The sequence below is a fragment of the Homo sapiens genome, chromosome 3 (genome assembly GCF_000001405.40).
Source record: "Homo sapiens chromosome 3, GRCh38.p14 Primary Assembly".
Classification (NCBI taxonomy): domain Eukaryota; kingdom Metazoa; phylum Chordata; class Mammalia; order Primates; family Hominidae; genus Homo; species Homo sapiens.
Window position 1 is genome coordinate 172,132,826 of NC_000003.12, and position 23,969 is coordinate 172,156,794.

Genomic DNA, 23,969 nt, shown 5'->3' on the forward strand with positions numbered 1-23,969 from the left:
CTTTGCTATTACCACTCATGGTCTAGTCTTGGAAGTTGTCTAATATTAAATATTTATGTTCATATAAGTAAAACATTGACTTTAAACATTTGGGTATTTGGCGGGGCCTATTTATAATATTTATTTAATACTGTTCATTATTGTCTTAAGATCCTGTACACAGATAATTCTTTTTATAAAAATTTTTCTTGTAAATATTTTTTGTTGTCACACAATAGAATCATATAACCAGATCAGTAATAGACACTTGGGAACAGTATGCAGCACTGTTAGGTCAAAACCTCATTGCTAGATGCAGCTTTCTTCTGTAAGTATGGTTTCTGGTGTTTTTTCTTCTGTAATTGTAGTTTCTAAATTTGTGAAAGCGAAAAGGGAATTGTGCTTTTCAAAGAAAAGTTTTCTTCAAATGGAGTTTTTAAAGTTAGATAGCATCATAAGCAACACAGGAGAATTCACTTAGCTAAATTTGAATGCATGTACTCCTCCTACCCCCATGCCCCCAATTAAGACTTATACTCCAAGTTTTGTGTTTATAAAAGATTTTATGCCACATGCTTCCTGTCTAGTATATAAATTTAGGTAATAACACTTAACAAATCCCAGAGGTTCCAGTATTAAACTGAAATTAATGTGTTGTTTTGGCAGGTTATTCTCGTTCAAGTTAATCCAGGTGAGACTTTCACAATAAGAGCAGAGGATGGAACACTTCAGTGCATTCAAGGTAAGGACATTTTTGGTAAATATTCTAATCAAAGATTTTTTTCTTTATTTGAAGGAAGTAATGTTTTTCTGTGTGTGTCTGCATGTAATTTTCTAGAAGTAAAGTATATCTTGGATATTCATTTTCTTTTTTTTTCTGTCGCATGGTCTCAAATATATATTATGATGTTATCCAAAGGACATTTTTAGTGGTAAAATCTGTATTGGGTATCTGTTGGTTAGTTATTGCTAAGTAACAAATTACTCCAAAATTTGGTGGCTTATAACAACATTTATTAACTCACAGGGGGCTAATGGTAGGAAGTTTTCTACAGTTAGTTGTTAAGTGGGCCTCTCCATGGAGAAGTGGAGGGAGCTTATGTTACCGCAGCTGGCTTCAGAGCCAATAACTAGAGGGCAAGAGGGAGCTAGTAGGTCCAGCCCAGACTCAAGAGAAGAAATTATGAAAGGGCGTGAATACCAAGAGGCAGGTCATTGGGGGCCATCTCAGAGGCTGCCCAACACAGGCTACTCTTTGGCCCCCGATGATTCATGTTCCTTCCAAATGCAAAATGCCCCGTCCCAAGATCTCCAAAAGTCTTATCCCATTATAGGATTAGCTCAGAGTTCAGAACCTTATCATCTAAAGTTCCAGGTGTAGGTAAGGCTTTTGGGTGTAGTTATTTTATTACAGCTCCTAGCACACTTCTAGTGTGTATACTAATGCCTCTTCTGTATAGTTCACTTGGAAATAAATGATGTAGGTACTTTGATCCATATGGAGTTCTGTGTAGGAAGATCAACCTAGATCTGATGTTAGCTGGTAAACACTGTAGTGTTAAAAGGCACTGTTTATGATAGCTCTTTTTGACAGTGACTGGGATTATGGGGCAAATGGTAAATGGCATGCAATTGAGATCAGTATTAGGTTATTAATTGAACTGGAATCTAATCTGAGGCTTTACTATTAATACCTGAACTTGCTTACCAATATACAAACAAACTGGGGGAAATGCCCTTTAGTTTCGGTTTCCCATAATAAGCTGTATAGAAACAGTTTTTTTTTTCCTTGCGTAATAGTAGAGCATGTTGCTTTGTACTTTTTTTTTGTATCTATAAGAACAAAAACTTAGAAAATATTTCTTGAGAAATGAGTATATTTTTAAAGATTCAAGGCTAATGAGTTTTAATTGAAGTTAATATGAAATTATTTAATCACTTTTATTAATGATTTCTACTCTGCATTTCTCTGTTGTGTCCCAGAAATTGATCTTTGGAATTCTAAATCATTTAAAATCAAAACCTAGTCTTAGTCGATGCACAATATGGGGAAACTTCAGGTCAAGGAAGAGAAGAAATATTTTTAAATAGTATGGACTATAGAGTCTTTCACCTATTTGTAGTACTATAATAAACAGATACCGTGAACAATTAAAACCTCAGAATCCTACAACCCTGTATCTTAAAAAAAAAAAAAAAATCACACTAGAAAAACTAGATGAAAGTCACCTATATGGGATGAAGCTGAAGTTTCCAGTTCAGTAAGAAAGCAATTAAGCCTCTGGTTATGGTAACATTGGCACCCCATTAATTGGCTAGTACATAATGTCCCTCTACAACTGAGTGTGTGTAATAGAATCTATAAAAGCAAATCACTTAGTGGATGAACATGCATTAAAATCTCTTTCATTCCACCTAAGTTTACTTTTTGGTGTCTAAGGAGTGTGTGTATGTGTGTGTGTGTGTGTATATATGTGTTTTTTGTGTGTATATATGTATGTAATTTCACTGAGTTGGCCGCTCCCCCACTTTTTTCTTTTTTTAATCCATGTTATAACTGGTGCACTTTGCAGGAAATGTTGCAAGTATATTGCTCTCTTCACAAAGGGAGCTTTGTATTTATTCATGATGATACTTGGAGATAAGTGACACTAACACTCCTAACAGTGATTTCAAAAATGCCTTTGACCAAAACAGAATTGTGGAGCCATTATCTTTGGCTCCCTCCAGGCTTCCTATTCTTTGTTCTCTTCTGAAGTCTCAGATACTATGGTTATCTTCATTTTGGGGAGTGGTGGTACCTGGCCCAATTAACTGAAATGACACAGGATGGAATGAGGACTAGGACCTGGATCCAGGTGCTTTACTAGGGTTTCGGAAGCACTGGGGCAATAGGATGAACTGCAGAAACTGGAAGGAAAGTCAGCCCAGCAGGCTGAACCCCAAATTCAGACTCATTGACTGCCACTAATGTATAAAAGGCAGTCACTCAGGCAAAAAATAAGAAACCCTTTATATGAGTCCCAGTATGAGTTCGTGAATACTTCATTCCAGTTGGGTAGAATATAGCAACATAAAATGTGGCAATAGGCAGTGTATTTGTAAATTCCAACACAAGTTGCTGTGTCATCCTCACAGTCCCAGTGATTAACATCATCTCTACCATTGCTAACATTTATTCATCTCAGGCTGTGCTATGCATTCTTTCCTTTAGTGAGTGTGTAGTTACACATAAGGAAGCTGAGGCCTGTCGAAAAGTCACAAAGCTAGAAAGAGGCAGAGTTGAGTTTTCTTCCCTGCTATGTCTGATGCCCTCAGTTCCTTGTTCTGTGCCTTTATGTCAGGGAGGACTCCATTCTCTTGACAACAGCAAGGTTAAGTTCCTGTTCCTGGAGTAACAGGATTCTGAGCTGGATAGCAGGATGACTACTTAGATACCCAGAATGAGACAGATGGTTTGCAGAACAAAAGTGGTTGGTGGAGACTGAGTCTTGGGAATAAGCTAGGGGCGAGCACTTTGTTAATGAAGTGAGATCTACTGGTTGAGCAGTGACTAGCAGACAGTGTGATGCAGGGAGTATTGGTTTAGAACTCATTAAATTATTTCTGCCCCAAATCAGGTTTGAGTTCAGATTTGGGGTGGCTCAGCTTCCAGGTGGGGCTTCCAGCTCCAGCTCCAGCTGTTGTTGATTGGGGCCAGGGAGGGCTCCAGCTCCAGGACAATGGGAGAGGACTTGTAGGTACAGTGGGAGGCAGTTCTTTGTCATTTAAAAACCTATTAGGAAGGAATCTGAAAATGGTCACATTGTAATGGAAATTTCTGAAAGAAATATTTGTATTTTGTTAGGGATTTAAGAGATCAAAACTCTACTTATGTTCTTTGAACACTGGCCAACAGGCGGGAGTGTTTTTGTTTTGTTTGTTTTTTGTTTTGAGATGGAGTCTCACTCTGTCGCCCAGGCTGGAGTGCAGTGGCACAATCTCGGCTCACTGCAACCACCGCCTCCCGGGTTCAAGCGACTCTCCTGCCTAAGCCTCCTGAGTAGCTGGGACTACAGGCACACGCCACCACACCTGTCTAATTTTTTTGTATTTTTAGCAGTGACAGGATTTCACTGTGTTAACCAGGATGGTCTCGATCTCCTGACCTCAGCCTTCCAAAGTGCTGGGATTACAGGCATGAGCCACCACATCCGGCGGTGTTTTTCTAAATTGAGGGGAAGGTGATGGGTGGTGGTGGCCTTCCTGGAAATTTTGAAGTCATACCCATTGATTATGCCGTGGTTGAAACTGTCAGCCTAATAACTTTGCTATTTTAACACCAGCCTTCAGATTAGGGACTGCTTTGTGGGGATTTCAGGTAGGGAATGGAGTTGGTTGCTGGGCCTTCCTGGAAACTTTGAAATCACATTGTATGAGGTCAGTCCTCTTTACTTGTAACTGAATTTATTAGCCTGATAATTTTATCTGTAGGACATTTGTGACACCACTAGAAAGACCTCAGAAGCTCATTGTGATCTCATTAAAAGGCAGCTTGGAAGTTGAAAGCAAATTAATACAGAAGAATATGGGCTGAGTAGGGAAGCTCACACCTATAATCCCAGCACTTTGGGAGGCCAAGGCAGAAGATTGCTTGAGGCCAGGAGTTAAAGACTAGCCTGGGCAACATAGTGAGACCCATCTCTACCAAAGAAAGAAAAAATTAGTCAGGTGTGGTGGTGCATGCCTGTAGTCCCAGCTGCTCAGAAGGCTGAGGTGGGAGGATCACTTGAGCACAGGAGTTTGAGGCTGCAGTGAGCTATGGTTGCACCACTGCACTCTATCCTGAGACCCCGTCTATTAAAAAAGAAAAAAAAATGTGTTTTTATGGGAATGTCCTTGGTGATAAGGAAGAAAACACAGGAAGCATACAATATGCTGTGAACGCAGATTCATTTCTAATGGAATATTTCTCAATATTTCCCATGAAACATGAATCATAGGTCTTGAAGGGGCCAAAAAAGGTCATAGTTTATTCTCACTTGGGGTTAGCCTATACCTATGGCATCCTAGACAAAGGATTTATTTTCTCTTGGCCAGATCAAAGTGTATAAAGAGCTAATTGTTAGGAAAAAAGAATCTTAGCAATCAGTATGAATTTTGCCTTTGCTTCAGTTCAGGAATTAATAGAGGGCACACTTGGGTCTCTCCCATTATTTTCATATCTGTGTCTGGGCTGAGGTGCTGGCAATGCAGCCTTCCTTCCTGTCTACACATGCCATCTCTTTATCTGCTCCCTGTAAAATCCTCCAGCCAAAACAAACATCATGCTTCCTTTAAGACTTTAGGCCTCTTTCTTCCAAGAGCTCTCTCAGACCACTGCCTGACTTTTCCCTGAATTCTGGAGGAGCAGGTAGAGGTAGCACTACACAGTCTGGTTATATGCGTAAACCTTTCCTTAGCTCTCGAATTAGATGTGAATTCAGTTGTGACAGGAAACAGTGTATCTTCACCCTGCTCCCCAGCCACACAGCTTGAGAATAATTACTGACTGGATTCCTGAGTGGCTCTGGTATTACATTCAAGCATGATGATTTTTCTTTTAAATTTTACTCTTCTGATGGCAGTTTAAAGAGGTTTAGTTACGTGCTTATAGCAGTCTCTAAATCTCAATAGAAGAACTTTGAAATACTAGATTCCATTGATAATTGAAGTTAATGAGTTTCCTTTAGAGAAATATGTTTAAATTCTAAAGAACTTTTACAATGACCCTACATTATTAATACTGTAATTTTTTATTTAAGACTATTAGATATAAATTGTGAGGCTAAAGAAAATAGGTGAGTGTGATGGTGATAAAAAATACTGATTAAAGTAAAATTCTTAGGAAGCACCATTATGTTAGTAAACAGTAATATTTAAAGATACTTAATTGCTAATAGTTTTTGTCCAAAATAATTTAGGAATCTTTTACCATAGCAGTTAATCTGCTGACTTGTGTTAAGTGAATAGAGACCTCAAAATGACTAAATGACAACAGAATGCGTGCAGAGGGGAATTCTAAGAGGGCACTACTATGAGATGGCTGTAGCTTTGAAGCTATTCGAATGTGAAACTTTTTCCGCTCTTGCTTGTTCTCCATAAGACTTCTTCAGCTCTGTGTCTAATTCTCCCCCTGCCTCAGTGAGTGTGGGAACTGTATCGTTGATGAACATCATGCTCTGCCCAGTGGCTCTGTGAATGACACCATTGAGAGCTGTTCACCATTTCTGAATTTCCTCATTTGTCTCCCATCCCCCGCCCCTCCATGTATGAGTCAGCATCCAGAATGTCACAGGGACCTTAATGTTACTTGTTTTTCCTTATGTGATACTTTTGGGACCTTAACGTTGCTTTTTTTTCCTTATATGATACTTTAAGTGCATTTATTAGACTTGTTTGGCACACTAAAACACTGACCTGTCATTCTTTCTAAGAATTTTATGACAGGTCCTAGGGAATTTGGGTTGTCTCTTGCTTTGTTTAGTGTGAAATGACAAGAATGGTGTCATAGCTTGGTTTTGCAAACTGAGGTAGACTAAAACTTCAAAAGCAAAGCATGCATATGGTCTCTCCCTTTAATACATACTTTGCATATAAATGAGAAATTCCTGTTTTACTAGCTTAAAACCCAGGAAGAGGACCTGTTGCAAATGAAGCTTGCTTTCAAAGATTGTAGTGAATCTCTGTCTTGGCTGAAATTTGCAACCAGTTTTTTGATTAAAAATATTTGGGTGATTTGAAAGTAAAATTATTGTAACATGAATGCATTAAATTCTGAATCTTTGCCAACTTTTATTATATTGGATGAATTGTTATTTGACTATTTGTAAAATGTCTGTATTATAAATGGAAATGTTTCTTCCTATTACAAGATTAGGATTTTAGGAGCTTGTTTTCTACATAAGAAACTGCCTTGAAAACCATTTCTTTTTTTTTTTGTTTTTTGAGACAGGGTATCCTGTCTCAAAAACAAAGACCTGGCTCTGAGACAGACTTGCTCTGTCACCCAGGCTGAAGTGTAGTGGCACGATCAGATCATAGCTCGTTGCAGCCTTGACCTCCTGAGCTCAAGTGATCTTCCCACCTTGGCCTCCCAAATTGCTGGGATTACAGGCATGAGCCAGTGTGCCTGTCCGAAACCCATTTCTTTAGTATTTGGTGGATTTGTGAGGGATTGCTAACAAGCTGAAATGTTATTGTGAACACTTAGGCCTCACTTGGAAAATCTTCTAGAATTGAAAATAGCAAGTCATTTGCCAAGGCTAGCCCTAGTGTCATGGCCATCTTTCTTTCTGATTGATCCAAAGCTGTATATGGTGAGAGTTAATCCTCCCAGGAGGCTCTAAGCCAAGATAGTCTGAATTTCTAGGAAAATCTGAATTACTCTACCAACTCTCCAGCTTACCTTATGATACTTAAATGTTAGCTTCAAGACCAATCAGTCTTTTACCTGTGTGTGTCTGTACTACAAATATATATTTACGTGTGTGTATATATATTTGCTTCATTAGACGATTTTTCCATTTTCCATGATTGGATTTACATGAAATTTGGAGAAAGATTGAAGAAAAATTACTTTCAGCTTTGTGGAGTACTCTTGATCTCTGAAATGTTTGGGGGCTCTATTTTGCACATGACAGTTAGCAATTCCTCTCAACATGGACTGATGCACAGCTATTTGTTACAAGTAGACATTCCATACGCTGACCTGAGAAACCCTTTTACAGACAGCAGCTTGCTGCTGAGTAACTGGAAGTTTACCAGCAGGTGGTTTCCACCAGGGCCGGAAAATACTGACGGGCCCAGAGCAGAAAGTCCAGGTTATGGAAGGAATGAGAGCAAAGGCTGTGATTGTACGTGCAACTGTCATCTTGCTGGGATTGTGTAATGTCATGAGGCTGGGTTACGTCAATACCAAACTATGTTGCTTTCCTAGGAGGTTTTAAGTCCCTCTCAAGGGAGGTACTCAGGGTATATGCTGCTTCCTGCCTTTCTCCTTCTTCCTGTCTCAGTTATCTTGATTTTTATGTTTATTCTTATATTTACATAAGAACGGAATGTTAAACCCTTAGATAAAACTGTCACCCAATGTTGTGTCATCAGACTTAAGATGAATTGGTGTTGAGTTCTCAGAGTACAGCTCTGTAGTGTGAATCCCTGGTCATTTCGTAGCTAATGCTTAACCTGTTAGCCCCAATTTCCTCTCTTAAAATGGGAACAATGATAGTACCTATCTGATAGGATTGTGAGGATAATCCATTGTAAGTGTCATTATTCTTATCATCATTATCTAGTTGTATACACAGCTTTACTGATTTTTCCCCCCCCTAAATAGATGGCATGATTGTGGGCAATGACTTCATTTTCCTACTTGTAGAAATCAGTTGAAATTCTAGTCTCCCTTTCATTGCTTATTTATGATAGACTTGCTTTCATAGGGTTGCTGGTGATGGCACCAGTTCAAACATTTTAGATGAAGGTTTATAAGAATGTGTATACTGTTCAGATATGGGGTTATAGCTAAAACAATGGGTCCAGTGTTCCATGAATTTAAAGTAAATTTTGTTGTAGATTTTTAGTTGTTGGTTTTCTTTTGAATAACAGCCGTTCACTCTTGCACCACGCCTGAGCAGCTATATTCAGAGAAGGCTGTATCCTCTTATTTTATCCAACAAAGCAGTTTTTCTAATGTGCCTCCTTTTACATTTTCATTGAATTCCATACTTCTGGCTGGGCATAGTGGCTCACGCCTGTAATCCCGACACTTTGGGAGGCCAAGGTGGGGCAGATCACCTGAGGTCAGGAGTTTAAGTCCAGCCTGGCCAACATGGTGAAACCCCATCTCTATTTCCCCCTAAATACCAAAATACAAAAATTAGCTGGGCTTGGTGGTTGGCACCTGTAATCCCAGCTACTCAGGAGGCTTGAGACAGGAGGATCACTTGAACCTGGGAGATGGAGGTTGCAGTGAGCTGAGATCGTGCCATTGCACTCCAGCCTGGGAGACAGAGTGAGACTGCGTCTCAAAAAAAAAAAACTTGTTTCCATACTTGTTAAAATTTTTATTTAGTGCATTCTGTTTCTTAGGCAGTACCAAGAAGCAGTCAGGGCTATATATTGGGAAGATCATTATAGATTTTGGAGTGAGATTGCCTGGCTCAAAAATCCCCTGCACATTAGATGTATATTGTAAAATTAGTTCCTTAACTTCTCTACACCTCAGTTTCCTTATCTGTAGAGCTGGAATAGTAATTTCTCTCTGGAAGGATTGCTGTGATTAAATGAGTTATTGTGTACAGAGCACTAAGAACAATTTCTGAGTCATAGTAGGGGCCCAATAAATAGGAGTGATTACTAAGCTTTCGCTCTTTATTATGGGTGGGCATTGACCCCCCCTTCATTTTTTGTTAGCTAATCATTTTTAAAGCATTTCAGAAAGCCTATGCGAACTGGAGTTATTAGGATTTTTTAGATGTCTTCACGTTTAAATTCTAACACTTCAAAATAACATGTTTAAAAGTTATGCAATCGCAGTTTAACTCCTCAACCCTTCTGCCCTTTAGGCTTGTTAAACAATGATTAAAATGTCATCTCTGAAGGTACCACTGCTTAGAGTTCTTTAAATGTCACAGATCTTTGCATGTCAGATAATTCAGAAAAGCGAGCAGTGTCGCATTACCTCAGTGGTTGGCCACAGGCTATTTCACAGCTTGTAGTCTTTCAGTTCCTGCTTTATTCTTTCTGTATTTTTTACTCTTGTTCTTGCACTTCCAACCTGAAATAGAAAAGTTCATGTTACAAGTGTCTTTAAGGAAGACTGGATTAAGTTCTTCAAGGGCAAGGGTCAAAGCTTAGTCATCTTTGTATCCCAGAGCCTATCCTGCATGCAGGAGGCATTCAGACTGAAGGAAAGTCATTTCCTGATACTTGTCTTAGTCTGTCTGGGCTGCTATAACAAAAATACCAGAGACCGGGTGGCTTATTAACAACGGAAATCTATTTCCTACAGTTCTGGAGGCTGGGAAATCCAAGATCAAGATACTAGCTTCTTTGGTGTTTGAGGAAGGCCTGCTTTCTGGTTCATAGATGGCAGTTTCTCTCTGTGTCCTCACGTGGCTGAAAGGCCTAGGGGTCTTCTTGGGCCTCCTTTATAAGGACACTAATCCCTCATGAATGGGGATTAGTGTCCCTCATGATCCAGTCACCCCTTCTAGTACCACCCCTTCTAATACCATCACCTTTGGGGTTAGAATTTCAATGTATGAATTTGCGCTGGGGTAGGGGACACAAACATTCAGACAGTGATAGTACTGCTGAAGATAAAATGATGGAAAAATTCTCTTAGGTAATTTAGAGAAGTTATTTATTTTTGTTGTTCTGAAAAGGTAGTTAAATTTAGTTATTTTCACTCTTAGTTCCTCAATTTAAGATAATGAATACAGGCATGAGTGTGTTTCCAAAAACAGTAATTCTGAAAAAGTCCAATATATGGATTAGCTTCTCTTACCTGTAAAAATGCATGAGGGAATCATTATATTCATGCTTTTAATAACTTTATTTTGGGGGAGAATAGGATGGGAATACCTTAGAAAATGTTAGGCTATTTAATCCTTAAAGATACATCAACTTTTTCCCAAACTTTGTATTTATTTTTGTGTTATTAACAAATATTTTAGGTTACTCGTTAATTTTATTAATATTTTATGTTTTCTTGCTGTTGGAAATTATAGCGTTTATGTATAGTAATAAATTCTCGGTAAACTCTGTGTCAGACCCAGGAACAAATTATGCTTTAGTAAATGAGGGTTGGGGCGGTGGCTCATGCCTATAATCCCAGCACTTTGGGAGGCCGAGGCGGGCGGATCATGAGGTCAAGAGATTGAGACCATCCTGGCCAACATGGTGAAACCTTGTCTCAACTAAAAATACAAAAATTAGCTGGGCGTGGTGGCACACACCTGTAGTCCCAGCTACTCTGGAGGCTGAGGGAGGAGAATCGCTTGAACCTGGGAGGTGAAGGTTGCAGTGAGCCGAGATCGTGCCACTGCACTCCAGTCTGGTGACAGAGTGAGCCTCCATCTCAAAATAAATAAATAAATAAATAAATAAATAAATAAATAAATAAATAGTAAATGAGGCTCATTCGTGCTTGTCAGTGTTTGCATTGATGTAAAGAAATACTTGAGACTGTGTAGCTTATAAGGAAAAGAGGTTTAATTGGGTCATGGTTCTGCAGGATATATAGGAAGCTTGGTGCTGGGATCTGCTTCTCGTGAGGGCCTCAAAGAACTTACAATTATGACAGAAGACGAAGGGGAGCCAGCGTGTCACATGGCGAGAGGAGGAGTAAGAGAGAGAAGGGAGAGGTCCCAGACTCTTAAACAACCAGATCTCCTGTGCACTGAATGAGAACTCACTCATCACCATGGGGATGGTGCTAGGCCATTCCTGAGGGACCCATCCTCACAATCCAGTCACCTCCCAGCAGGCCCCACCTCCAACGTTGGGAGTCACATCTCAGTGTGAGATTTGGAGGGGACAGAGATCCAAATCATATCATTTACTGAGTTAAATGAAGGTGGCATAATGGTTTTTCTCTACCAGCGGTGTGATTGAAGAGGGCAGGCAGGCGTCGAGCCTGAAGGAGTGCATTCGTGGTGGGATGTGGAAGGAGAAGCAGATATTACAGACATTTAGGAGATAGTCATGACTTGTGACCAGTGAGAACACACTGGATGAATGTTTCCCTAAGGTAGATGAACTACAGTGTCTTAGAAAAATATTTGTCTTGTAACATAATTGAGAGCACTAAACATTTTGTATTCTCTGTCTCTTAATTGGACACACATTAAGAGTAACAAATATGGGTTTAAAAGGCAAACTTTTTTTTTTTTTAAGTGGGTATTTTTTTCCTTTTCCTCAACTTGGGTATTTCCTCTCTGAAGAGGGTTTTCAGTGTCTTGGAAGGTAATTTGCACACTATTTGTGAGGCAAGACTGCTGAGTTAATGGGGAATATGCTTTACTACTTCTTTTTTGGATCCAATCTAAATACGGAGAAAACTGGCCTCAGAATTGCCCACAGAATGGGGGTTTCCTTTATGATTCCTGCTTTTGAGTTCTTTGAATTAGCTTCACATTTCTTGTGTGGTTGGATAGACCCTCCTCCCCCTACCACTTTTTTTTTTTTCTATTTGAAGAGAAAAGATTATTTCCCCCCTAAGTATTCAAGTCTTTTTGTGCCTGAATTAAGGTCGAAGCATTCCATAATTTAAATATAATACCTTTTTGGATGCTTTATATATTGCATTGTGGAGCCAGTTTTAAACACCTGTTTTGTTATCTTTCTAGCTATAGGAGTGTCCACATCTTCACTTTATTTAAAAAGCTCCCGGGTATGTATTAGCAGATTATTATTTCTGTTCCAAATTGATAAGAAGAGGAGGGAGGTGTAGCATCAAGGGAGAAGTCTTTGGGAGTAAAAAAAAGAGTGGAAACTTAAATCAAAATATAAGTCCTTTTCTTGCTCTGTCTTCTAGTGAAAATGTTATTCTGTGTTAGAGAAATGACCAGATGAATTGTGTTTCCTGTTTCGTTTTGCAGTTCTCATTAAAGTGGGTATACGCATACACTTATCTCATGTAAATGTCAAACTGTTTGTTCTTGAAGTGCTGAGTCTTCAACAGTTCTCCTTGGTTGGATTTTGAACATCATTTCAGAATGTCTTATGCTAGATCCAGCAATGTCAGTTTTTGCCTGCTGCACTGTGGTACCTTGTGAATAAAGCAAGTATAAATGGTCCAGATTTATAATGGTTTAAGATTTTTCAACTTTACGATTGTTTCATTGGGACGTAACTCGGTCACAGGTTAAAGAGCATCTGTACTTAGGCAATGCTAGAACTGAGCTTGTGTTCTGTTGAGGAAGAGTAATCTTTGCAGATAGTATAAATTGTCTTTGAGTGTAAACTTGAAATAGGTTTCTTTCTTTTTTTTTTTTTTTTTTTGAGATGGAGTTTCACTCTTGTTGCCCAGGCTGGAGTGCAATGGTGTGATCTCGGCTCACTGCAACCTCCGCCACCCGGGTTTAAGCGATTCTCCTGCCTCAGCCTCCTGAGTAGCTGGGATTACAGGCATGCGCCACCACGCCCCGTTAGTTTTGTACTTTTAGCAGAGAGGAGGTTTCTCCATGTTGGTCAGGCTGATCTTGAGCTCCCATCCTCAGGTGATTTGCCCGCCTCGGCCTCCCAGAGTGCTGGGATTACAGGCGTGAGCCACCGTGCCTGGCGGAAATAGTTTTTTAAAAACATTAATAAAATATATAAAAAAAAGCATGGCACTATCATCCCATGAGTTAGAAATCAAGATCTAGGATTAAATTGGTTAATTTATTCTTAGTTAATAGTCACGACAGTTCTTATTCTGTGAGTCAAGCGCTCACCTGTTGAGTGACATAGTTCTTGAATCATATGCCCAAGGAAAAGGACATGTCTAACATCTCAGAATTTTAAAACTGTGTGTATTAACAGTGGCTTATATCCTTTTGCACATCAGAATTACCTGGGAACTTAAAAAAAAAGTTTAAAAGTTGATATGTAGGCTAGTTGTAGGGAAGTGTCACATTGTCTGAGCCCAGGGGAATTGTCAGATTGTAGGGGAATTGTCAGATTGTAAGGGTTGGGGACTGGGCATGAGTGGTTTTGAAAAGCTCCCGGGCCATTTGAATATGTAGTGAGGTTGAGAAGCTCTGGTTAACGTAACCCTCAGGACAGCTCAAGAAATTCTTGCACTGTGCTTTCCCACGTACATTTCAGTGTACAGGCTGTGTACCTGTGGCTGTTTATCAGGTTCATCTTCTTTAGCAAGTTTGGCAGTTTTGTAAAGTGTCTAAAGATCTTTTATCTTGTATTCTTATACATATTAAGTAAAATCTATGTGGTAGTTGGCTTTACTGAACCTATTAAAATTGCTTTTTAGCTTTGGTTATAAGCTTCTAAGTAATAAACAAGAACCATCAGACAGAAATATGAGTTACTGCTTTCGGCAGAGTACAGATTTACTTTATACTTACTTAGATGTAAACACAATAGTTCACGTATGTTTAACGAAATTCAAAGTTCACCTATGTTTAATGAAATTCAAAGTTGATTGGAACAGGTATGATTATGCAGAGTGGACAGACTTTAAAAAGTGAGATGAGAAGGCCAGGCGTGGTGCCTCACGCCTGTAATCAGCACCGTGGGAGGCCAAGGCAGGGGAATCATTTGAGGTCAGGAGTTTGAGACCAGCCAGGCCAACATAGCAAAACCCTGTCTCTACTGAAAATACAAAAATTAGCCAGGTGTGGTGGTGCATGCCTGTAATCCCAGCTACTCGGGAGGCTTGTGGCAGGAGAATTGCCTAAACCCAGGAGATGGAGGTTGCAGTGAGCTGAGATTGCAACATTGTACTCGAGCCTGGCGACAGAGTGAGACCCTGTCTCCAAACAAAAAAAAAAAAAAAGTGAGGTGAGAAAATAACCATCTTACAACTTGCCACTTTTCAGAAGCTGATAAGCTGCTGTGAGCCCTGTTTTCGCATGCCTTTATGAAATGATTGGACTGGGACTTTTGCTTCCCTCTTTGTTCCCTTCCTAATCTAGCTCGAATGGTGTAGGTCCCTAGGAATCATTTTGTTGCTTGACTTGGGTGGGTGGTCCCTATAGTATATGAATTCAGTATATGACATCTATGTCAGACCCTAAAGATTATCAACAGGTAGTCTCGGTTCTCAAAATGTAGCATAAACCAGAATCACCTGGAGGGCCTGTTAAAACACAGTTGCTGGTTCTACCCCCAGGGTTTCTGATTCAGGTCTGGGGTGGGTGGGGCCAGAAAATTTGTATTTCTGAGATGTTCAGGGTGTTACTGATGTTCTTGGTTCAGGAGTTCTGAGACTCATGGAGGTGGAGATCGTCGGGGTTGGTGACATTTGTAAGAGAAGGGTATTTACAGAAGTTGTACCCTTAAATTAAAAAGAAGGCTCTCAGAATTAAGTCTGGTCACCCAATGGACAAAAGGGAAAAAAATTCCATCTAGATGCAGAAAAATAAGAAAAATTGACTTAAAAGATTATTATTTATAAGCTCAAAGATAGAATTTTTTTCTTTTTGAAAAATTTTTCCTCCCTTTTCTACAGTTTTAATGAATTGAGGTTTGAACCCGGGACTCTAATTTTCAAAGGATTTGTTTGTAGTCTTTCAGTTTCCATCTCCTAATTCAGTTGCTAATTTTATTAAGTTCCTAATTTTATTAGGAACTTGTTTTTCTTCACTGTGCCTCAGTTTCCCCATAATAAGAATAAATATGATTGCCAGAGATATCGTTAGGTTATTTTAAAGTCTAATGAATAATATTATGTAGTATTTGGAGATCATCAAGTTAGGAAACTTATAAAAAATATGAAAAATATTCTAAACATCTAAATAAGGGATGTACTTATTCAAGCAATAAGTACATCCCTTTTTCCCAGTCAACTGGGCCACGGTAAAAGAAGCAGCCAATGTGGAGGGTAAAAAAAATAGTGGGCCAATATGGAAGTTGGCTTCATTTTGTAAAGTACTATACAAAAATGGGAAAATTTTAAAGCATGAAACTGGTGAGAAAGGAAGTGACTCAGAATTCAAAATAGATAGGACTCCACACCAGTAATGATCTGGAACTGAGGAACATTGCCTACAGAAGAGAGAAGCCATGAGAGACAGTTGAGGTGAGTGAATTGGCTCCATAGTAACATGGAAAATGGAATTACACATTTCTTTTTTTTCTCACGTGGACAGAGACTATTGTAGCAATTTAGAACTTCGGGCCCTGTTTAAAAAAATCTATTTCAAGCGTCAAATTATTGATTGCCAGACTGAGTATTATTAGTAATTACAGTTACAGCACTGAGGAGTTTTCTCATAGTGTCTGAGTTCTGCTCCTGTTCAGTGGTTGAGTTCATTGATCATTTTTCTACTCCTCATTGCACCTGTCATGCTGGTATCAGCAATTAACATTCCTCAGAAGCGAATAGAATGCCAGGCTCCATCTCAGATGTAACTCAAGAACAACAGGTGCATTCTACCTATTCTTGGCTATAGACAGAGTAGTTAGAAGGCAAGTAATTAACCATAGAGCAGACTTTGAAGAAAATGAGATTCTTTAGAATTTGAGACAAAGTGCTGAAAAGTAGCTCTGGATAATGTATTTAGGAGACATAGGAAATGGCTCAACAGGAAGGGTGAAATAGCCTTACCAGTCTGGCCTCTTTAAATTTGTTTCAAGCCTGTTTCCCTTCACTGATACAAATCTTACTAACTCTGCACCTTCCACAGACCCTTTGTTATGTGCAGCTGTTTTTGTTTGTTTTTATGAAATTCACTTGAAAAGTCATTGGACTTGAATTTATACAGTAAAAAATCAATTAACTAGATTCTTAAATTTTCTCTTCCACTTTAAATGAAGACACCTAACGGTTTGAAACCTTCTGGCTCTGAGAAGAGGAAGAGGGTCCCCAGATACAGGTTTCAATTCCTTACCATTTAGTCTGGTTCCATTGATCAGGGGTTCAGTTTTCTCACCTTAAAATAAGAGGATTAGAACAGATAATTTCTAAAATTATTTTTACCACCCCTTTTCTCTTTTCTTTCTTTAATTCCTGTGGCGTTCTCTGCAGTTTATATGTCCCTAATTTTTATGAAAATACTTAAAGCTTTACTTAAATAGGTTCAAGTGTGGGCAGATTTCAAGAGCTTAATTATCTAGGATTTTCTACTTGAAAGTGAGATTTTAAATTATCATTGAGACCTTACTTTAGGTCCTACATAAATTTCTCTAAAATTTTATAAGCATATGTTACTCTTGACTAGTAACAACAGGAAAGAAAATTAATCCAGTGTGATTTCTCTTGTTTTAATAATTGCTACTTTAAAAAAGCTTGTGTATACCTTTTGTATGTTGGGTGTTTTTTTTTTTTTTTTTTTTTTTTTTTTTTGAGACAGAGTCTTGCTCTGTCACCCAGGCTGGAGTACAGTGGCATGATCTCAGCTCACTGCAACCTCCGCTTCCCAGGTTCAAGCGATTCTCGAGCCTCAGCCTCTCGAGTAGCTGGGACTTCAGGTGCCCGTCACCGTGCCCAGCTAATTTTTGTATTTTTAGTAGAGACAGGGTTTCACCATATTGGCCAGGCTGGTCTCGAACTCCTGACCTTGTGATCCACCCACCTTGGCCTCCAAAAGTGCTGGGATTACAGGTGTGAGCCACCACGCCCAGCCATGTCGGGTGCTTTCTCTCACTGGTTGTTAAACTTGGCTGCATGTTTGAATAGCTAGAGATTTTTAAAAAATACTGATGCTTGGGCCTCACCTTCAGAGATTTAGATACAATTATTGGGTCCCAGAATATTTTTAAAGATAGTATTGTCATAAGTATTTAGTTTACGTTGCACTTCAAAAAAAATTGTAGATTTAACTTTTATGTCTAATATTTAAGGTTTTGAATTATTTGTGAATGAAAAAACTCTAAAACAGAGAAGTGGTACCTTTTCATTTTAGGTGTACTGCCTCAGCTAAAGGATGTGTGTGTGTCTTGACTCCCCATCCCCCATGCGTACACCTCTTATCTGCTGAGCTAGATGGGATGGCCTTTCTGCTTGTCTCTCATCTATGGGGCATTACACATAGTTGTCCTTTTCCAGTTGGTTTTTTAGGATTATTTGGTGTCATTTTGTCAAATCTATGCCATTGGTTTTTAAATGCATCATTCTTTTTTTTTAAATGTCTCTACAAAAGAGATAACACCACCGATTAAGTTGACTTCCTTTTTCAGGAGATGTGAAAATGTGAAAAAGGTACTTGGAATCGGTGAAATATGCTTATAATTTTTTATTTAAAAAAAGTTTGTGGGTACATAGTAAGTGTATATATTTATGGGGTACCTGAGATGTTTTGATACAGGCATGCAATGTGAAATAAGCACATCATCGAGAATGGGGTGTCCATCCGCTCAAGTGTTTATCCTTCAAGTTTCAAATAATCCATAAAATACACTACTCTTTATTTTTCTCATCTAGGTATTTTTTAAAAAATAACAAATCTACATAGGTTTTTTTTCTAAGTTTGTGTTTGCATAATCATTTTGTGTGTATGAAAAAATTGAGATAGCTTTCTATTCAATCTCCTTAGTTGTAGAAATATGACTAATTTGTTTAAACATCATTGCTTCTAAATATGCCCTGGAGGACTTACATACAAGTCATAATCTTGTGATATTCTTTGTTAGTTTGTCTCATTATGCGGAAAGCCTTATTTATTTTTTGTGTGTGCATATGTATGCATATTTGTGTGTACTCATACAGACACACACACTCTGTATGTGTGAGTGTATATTTGCCAGTGCTACCACTTCCGTGTGTTCTGCTTTGTCTAACCTTTTGGTAAAGTCTACACTTTGGGTTTTAAATAATTTTAAGGTTTCCATTGTTCACGTGTTTGCTGTTGTAGCATTATCCTATTAAAAACTACATAACCCAGTTCAGCAATCTAAATGTGCTTCTAACTTTATATGGAAACTATTTAGCTTTCTTTACTTACCGTCTCCCCGACTCCACTCCCCACTCCCCCAACCTCTTTTTTTTTCCTACAGTGTTAACCAAGAGAGATATATTACCTTTGGATCTAGCCCATCTACCTCTAGATACTTCACTTGCATAATAACTAATTTAAATTTATTCCAGATGTACAAGAAGTATTTGAGATTTGGTAGTTTTAATTTTGGAAATGCTTTTAAAATGTTATCCTAGATTAGTAGGTGATTTTTCTTCCATGAAAATGTATATTTATTTAAAACCTGCGGTAGCTAATTAAACTTGAAATACCCTAAGTCCTCATGTAATGTTGTGGATAGGTTCTTGGAAACTGTAAGTGAAACATATAACAGGTCCTTGAGTTGCGTTGTTTCCTTCGATGTGGATTTGTTACAGCATTGATGAGGGGAAAAACGGTTATGCGTTATTTCACTCAAAGTTGCAGCTTCCAGGAACCTGTGGATGACGTTATGTGAGGGCTTACTGTATTTCTCTGGTTTTCAGTAAGTTAAAAGGTAGCAGAATCTAATATTTTCATTCTCCCCATCAGTAGAGGAGCTGGTGATATCCACTTGTGGATACTCAGTCCCTGTCTGATCACCAGGTTTGATGAATTGGCCGCTCACTTTAGAGGGTCTGTCAGGCTTCTTCATGTTCACAAATGACTGGAAATAAAAAGGAATACCTTTTACATCACCAACTCTCTAAGTACCTATATAACATTTCGGTTTGTTTTGGCTGCCAATTCCTCTTCACAAAAATCGCTGGTTTTGCAGCCATAGGTGGCCTCCTGGCTCTGTGTGGTTTTCTCCCTTTACTGGCTCACTCTTCATGCCCATATTGCTGTAGACCTCTCTTAGAAGCCTCACCCCTTCACTCCCCACTCCTTTTGCATTTGGGTTTCTGTGTGTATGTATGGGGTACTTAACGCCTTCTAAGTAGTAGCGCAGTGCCTGGCAAAATTGTCAGAATCAGGATCAGAATCAGACTGCCTTTGCTGTGTTTCCACGGGTGTGTTGCATTGCTTCCTGTCCGTTCTCCATCCATTGCCCATTCTCCGTACCCTTCATGTCCTCAACTACTCCCTGTCTTCACCTCCTGTTTCCTGTTTTTTCTCCTGTTTCTGCCACTCACATTCTCCATGGGAAGGGCTTTTTTTTTTTTTTTTCTTCAAACCTGGTATTTTTGGAGAGAAGGTTTTGACATTGGGGCTGTCTTTTAAGAGCCCTTCCCCTGATAGCAGAGGGGAACGTGCTCAACTTACAAAGTTTCTGAAAAAAATCACACTTCTTCTTTTCACGGGACCCCTGTTTGAAATTTGCAACAAATTAAATGCTTAGGAATCCAGGTGCCTAGGAGCCCTGCTATTTCAGCTCTTTCCCCTTAATCATGTTGGTTTACATGAGGATTGATTTTGGACTCACTGGGCCAGCTACGTGAAATGTGGTATTGTCATTGTCTCTTTGCACAGAACAATTCATTTGCTGCTTGTCGTGAATCCATCCTGTGAGGTATTATGATGACATCTGGCATGGCTTCTTTGTTTACTGTGTTTACCGTATGTGTTTAGAAGGAAAAAGGCCTGTAGTGACCACTTTTCTGTGTCGGCCCCTGGGTCAGGTTTTCCATCCTGACTCATGGGTGTCGGGACCGCTGAGATTGGTTGATGGGGTGTGCAGAATTTCCTCTGTCGGGCTTGGGAGCCAGAAAGCCACGATGAAGTTTGATTTGGCTTGTGGCAGCCTTTTCCAAATGTGAATTTGGATACAGTACAGTAAGCCCTCTAAGAAAAGGAGAAGAAGAGAAAATAATAACTCTAGAGCTGGGAATATCTGGGGAACATTGAAAAACGGGGAAAGTCTCAAAGATAGTATTCTGTGTCTCCCCTGAGCTGGTGTTGCTGTAGTGCTCAGAGGCCAGCCTTTTTTTCCAAGCCGAGTGCTCCCTGCACTTGGGAGAAACCACAGAGGCGGCCTCTGTCCTGCATGTGCTGCACGCTGCCTTGCTCCAGACTGTCTTGAATGTGACCTGGCAGCCAGTGCTGTTTCCTGCTGACGTGGCCTCCCACAACTGAGCAGAACAGAGCCACCTCAGTGTACTGAGGAAGGAGCAGGCTGGGGGCATGAATCACCAGCGGGATACGGAACAAATTCAGAGGGGAAAGCGCCTAACTATTCAGGTTTCCTGGTAGATATACTTAAAAGACACCTTTCTTATAGGAAGGAAGGAGGAGGAAGAAAAACAGGAGTGAAGAATGCCTCAAGAGTCAAACAGTGATTTGTTTGGCCCTAGGAAGGATTTCTTATCAGCAGGAGTTACCTTCTGGGGTAAGCCCCAGTCTGTCTCAAACATCTGAGAGGATGCTTTGAGGAGGCCAGACTGGACTGCAGCCTTCACAGCCACACTGTTGCACAGGTTGGTGGCGATGTGAGCTCTTAGCCCTATCCTGCAGACAGGTAGTAAAGAAACAAAAACCTAAACCAAAAGACTAGAGTTTGTGTCTTGGTGGAAAAAGTTCCCTCAACTTGGTAGGAACTGGAGAAAAGGACTCTGAGAAACTGCTCAGGAGCAAATCCTGTGGCCTAGTTTTCCCTTCAGTGCTGTCAGCTTCCCGCTTGATGCTCGATAAGCGCTTGTTTCAGCCACTACTGAATATTTTTTGAGTTTGCTTATTTGAAGGCATCCAGGACAGCTCCTTGTTACTGTCTTCTAATAGGCCCCCCAAAAGTCATAGTATCACAGAATTTTAGAGTGAGATGGGACTTTAATTGTAATCTGATCGAGACCGTTAATGGTTTCTTTTTTTTTGAGACAGAGTCTTGCTCTGTCACCAGGCTGGAGTGCAATGTTGCAATCTTGGTGCACTGCAACCTCCACCTTCTGGGTTCAAGCCATTCTCCTGCCTCAGCCTCCCGAGTAGCTGGGACTACAGGTGCGTGCCACCATGCCCAGCTAATTTTTGTATTTTTAGTAGAGACGGGGTTTCACCATGTTGGCCAGGATGGTCCTGACCTCGTGATCCGCCGTCCTCCGCCTCCCAAAGTGCTGGGATTACAGTCATGAGCCACCGTGCCCAGGCTATGGTTTCTTCTAAGAAGTGATCGTAGAACTTTGTCTTCAGTTACTCCCACCTGAAAGCCCACTGTACAAAACGTGCAGGTGGAGCTGACTGAGGGCAGAGAGGCCGGAGCCCAGCTGCTCATCTTTCTTTTAGTAGTGGCCCTGGAAACTCTTCCCCTGACCATTCCACACTCCCGCATACTTAATTGAGAAACCACTGATGAAATCTACAACCTTAATTTTATAGGTGAGGGAATTTTACCTTTGGTAGGGTCACGGTGTTAGGTCATTATGATAACTTTCAAGGTGCCTGGGAATAAAAGTTTTATAACTTTAATCTGTCTCCTGCTTTTGAGCCTTCGTGATCTCTCCAGGAGCTGCTGTAATGGCTTCCCACCCTGCGTGGGAACAAGTGGGGTGCTGGTGGGACAAGTCGGGGGCTGGTGATGTACTCTATGTGTTTGTAGGTCAGAGCTGGAAACCACAGAGAACAGCCCAGGTGGTTTCATTAGTCTAGGTGTGAGGTCACTGGGGGGCGGCAGTAGGATTGGAGATGGAGGGAAGCTTTGAAAGGAAGAGCCCTTAGCATTTTAAAGTATGGTTAAGTTTTTAAGTTACAGAAACTGGATATGGAAAATTACCAAGAGAACTTAGTCAAAGATGATCCTCAAATACCCAGCCAAAGTCATAGGGAGAATGTGGAGACTGTCTGACTTAGATAGTGGAAAATCTTTCTCAGTTTTCTTTGTTTAAGCTTCAGTAAGTCCCTCTCGTGGAGGATTCTTCTTTGGAGATAGGAAAGCAGTTTGATTCCCTGATTCTCTTTACAGCTGTGGCATCCCAATCTGATTGTTGGATGAGTTTTGGTATATGGTGTAACCCTTAGTTCCTGGTGTGTCAGTTGTCTACACAATTCACTTGCATTTGTTTTCTGGATTGTTCAGCCTAGATTATGGAACAGAACCAAGGCAGATTCAGGTCTGTCATACTGACCTCATTCCTGGTTCAGCACTGACTTTCCTGCATAGCCTCAAGTCTAGTAGGTAGGTGGACTTGTGATTACAAACAGATTTTGGAAATCATTTACATTGGCCAGGTTTTCCAGTGTTTTCCCCTTTCCTGGAAGCCATTTTCTCCTATTGCTCGCCTCTAACTCAGTCAACAGAAGCCTCTGCCCAGGGCAAACAATTTTGTAAGAAAAGAGAGCAAAATAGGAGTGAATGGAGAGGATGGGATATTAAATATGTAATAGGCCTATTTCCATTTTCAGTAAAGTCACTTGATTTCCTTTAAAGAGGCTCTGATTTTCTTGAACCATGCCTTGGTGGAATTAGAAAGTTACCCACATCATTTATGGTATTTTGTTGTTACTGTTGTAGGCTGGATTTGTACTTGGTCCGGGACTAGAAGGGGAGAAACAGCCTTATCTGTTAATCCGTTGCAGTGGCAGAAGAGCTGTATATGTAACTATATGCTTTTTTCCTCAACTTATACTGGAAAAAGAAAAAAAATTGCCCAGAGACTCTTTTTCTAAATGGTTTTGGTAAATGTATTCTTCAAATACAACTGCGAGTAGGAGGCCATGTCAGTGGGGGGTGATCATTCTTTTGTGTGATGGTAATGAGATAATTTCTGCATTACAGATTTTCAGGAGACTCTTTGTTTAAATGAAACTTCAGAGCCCTCACAAAGCCTCACAAGTCTCTTTGCCTTATTAAAAAAAGTTTTTATTAATCTCATGTGTTTTGCCATCATCAATTGCATAAACAAATAAAATTGTTTTGAGCAATAGAACTAAGGCTGTCATTTGTTTGGCATCCTGTCCTCTCTCCTTTTTCTCAAATACAATTTGACAAAATCTGGCTCCGAGTTGCTGTTGTTCCCACCATTAGCCATCGGCTCCAAGTGGCCATTCCCTCTGGTCTTGGATGGAGGCAAGAGGAAGTGTGCGCAAGACATAGCCAGGCAGGTTGCTGCCTGAAGGCTGGCAGCCGCTTTCACATGGGCTGGCAGGGATCTGCAGCCAGCAAGTGACTGGCACAGGAATTTCCGTTGCGTTGCAAGAAGGAACCAGGTAGGCCTGAGGGTGTCAAGTTGCTAGCCAAGATCTTCAACGTTTCTTTGTATGTATCCTTTGCTAATTGAACCTGGAAAACCTAACCATGAAAGGGATCTACAGAGAAAAGTGGCTAGTGCTGAGTTTTGAAGTTTTTTTTTTTTTTTTTTCCCCACTGTCTGCTCTCTAAAGCAACCAGTATTTATTTGGTTAAAAAGCAGCTAATTAATCTGTTTGATCTTGATGTGGAAA

The 23,969-nt window shown here is 39.9% G+C and overlaps 1 protein-coding gene across 11 annotated transcripts in view, besides 6 other annotated features; it reads left to right on the plus strand.

The window, feature by feature from the left end:
- FNDC3B (fibronectin type III domain containing 3B) overlaps window positions 1-23,969 on the plus strand; it is a 362,092-nt gene that overhangs the window by 93,248 nt on the left and 244,875 nt on the right. For all 11 annotated transcript variants that reach the window (NM_022763.4, XM_017007062.2, XM_017007064.3 and 8 more), the window contains one exon: window positions 646-721. In NM_022763.4, coding sequence (NP_073600.3) covers window positions 646-721 — 76 coding nt within the window. The remainder of the gene's footprint in view (window positions 1-645; window positions 722-23,969) is intronic.
- Window positions 1,750-1,799: an enhancer, noted in NCBI's record as "active region_20820". NCBI's record gives its function as "activates an Ori minimal core promoter by ATAC-STARR-seq in GM12878 lymphoblastoid cells {active_cell/tissue: GM12878}" and the evidence as "EXISTENCE:reporter gene assay evidence [ECO:0000049][PMID:35858748]".
- Window positions 3,570-4,393: an enhancer, noted in NCBI's record as "OCT4-NANOG-H3K27ac hESC enhancer chr3:171854185-171855008 (GRCh37/hg19 assembly coordinates)". NCBI's record gives its function as "activates a minimal SCP1, AML or CMV promoter by ChIP-STARR-seq in primed H9 embryonic stem cells {active_cell/tissue: H9 hESC(primed)}" and the evidence as "EXISTENCE:reporter gene assay evidence [ECO:0000049][PMID:30033119]".
- Window positions 7,690-8,513: an enhancer, noted in NCBI's record as "H3K27ac-H3K4me1 hESC enhancer chr3:171858305-171859128 (GRCh37/hg19 assembly coordinates)". NCBI's record gives its function as "activates a minimal SCP1, AML or CMV promoter by ChIP-STARR-seq in primed H9 embryonic stem cells {active_cell/tissue: H9 hESC(primed)}" and the evidence as "EXISTENCE:reporter gene assay evidence [ECO:0000049][PMID:30033119]".
- Window positions 9,702-9,751: an enhancer, noted in NCBI's record as "active region_20821". NCBI's record gives its function as "activates an Ori minimal core promoter by ATAC-STARR-seq in GM12878 lymphoblastoid cells {active_cell/tissue: GM12878}" and the evidence as "EXISTENCE:reporter gene assay evidence [ECO:0000049][PMID:35858748]".
- Window positions 20,454-20,748: an enhancer, noted in NCBI's record as "tiled region #1756; HepG2 Activating non-DNase unmatched - State 14:Gen5'". NCBI's record gives its function as "activates a minimal TATA promoter and a strong SV40 promoter by Sharpr-MPRA in HepG2 cells {active_cell/tissue: HepG2}" and the evidence as "EXISTENCE:reporter gene assay evidence [ECO:0000049][PMID:27701403]".
- Window positions 20,461-20,550: an enhancer, noted in NCBI's record as "active region_20822". NCBI's record gives its function as "activates an Ori minimal core promoter by ATAC-STARR-seq in GM12878 lymphoblastoid cells {active_cell/tissue: GM12878}" and the evidence as "EXISTENCE:reporter gene assay evidence [ECO:0000049][PMID:35858748]".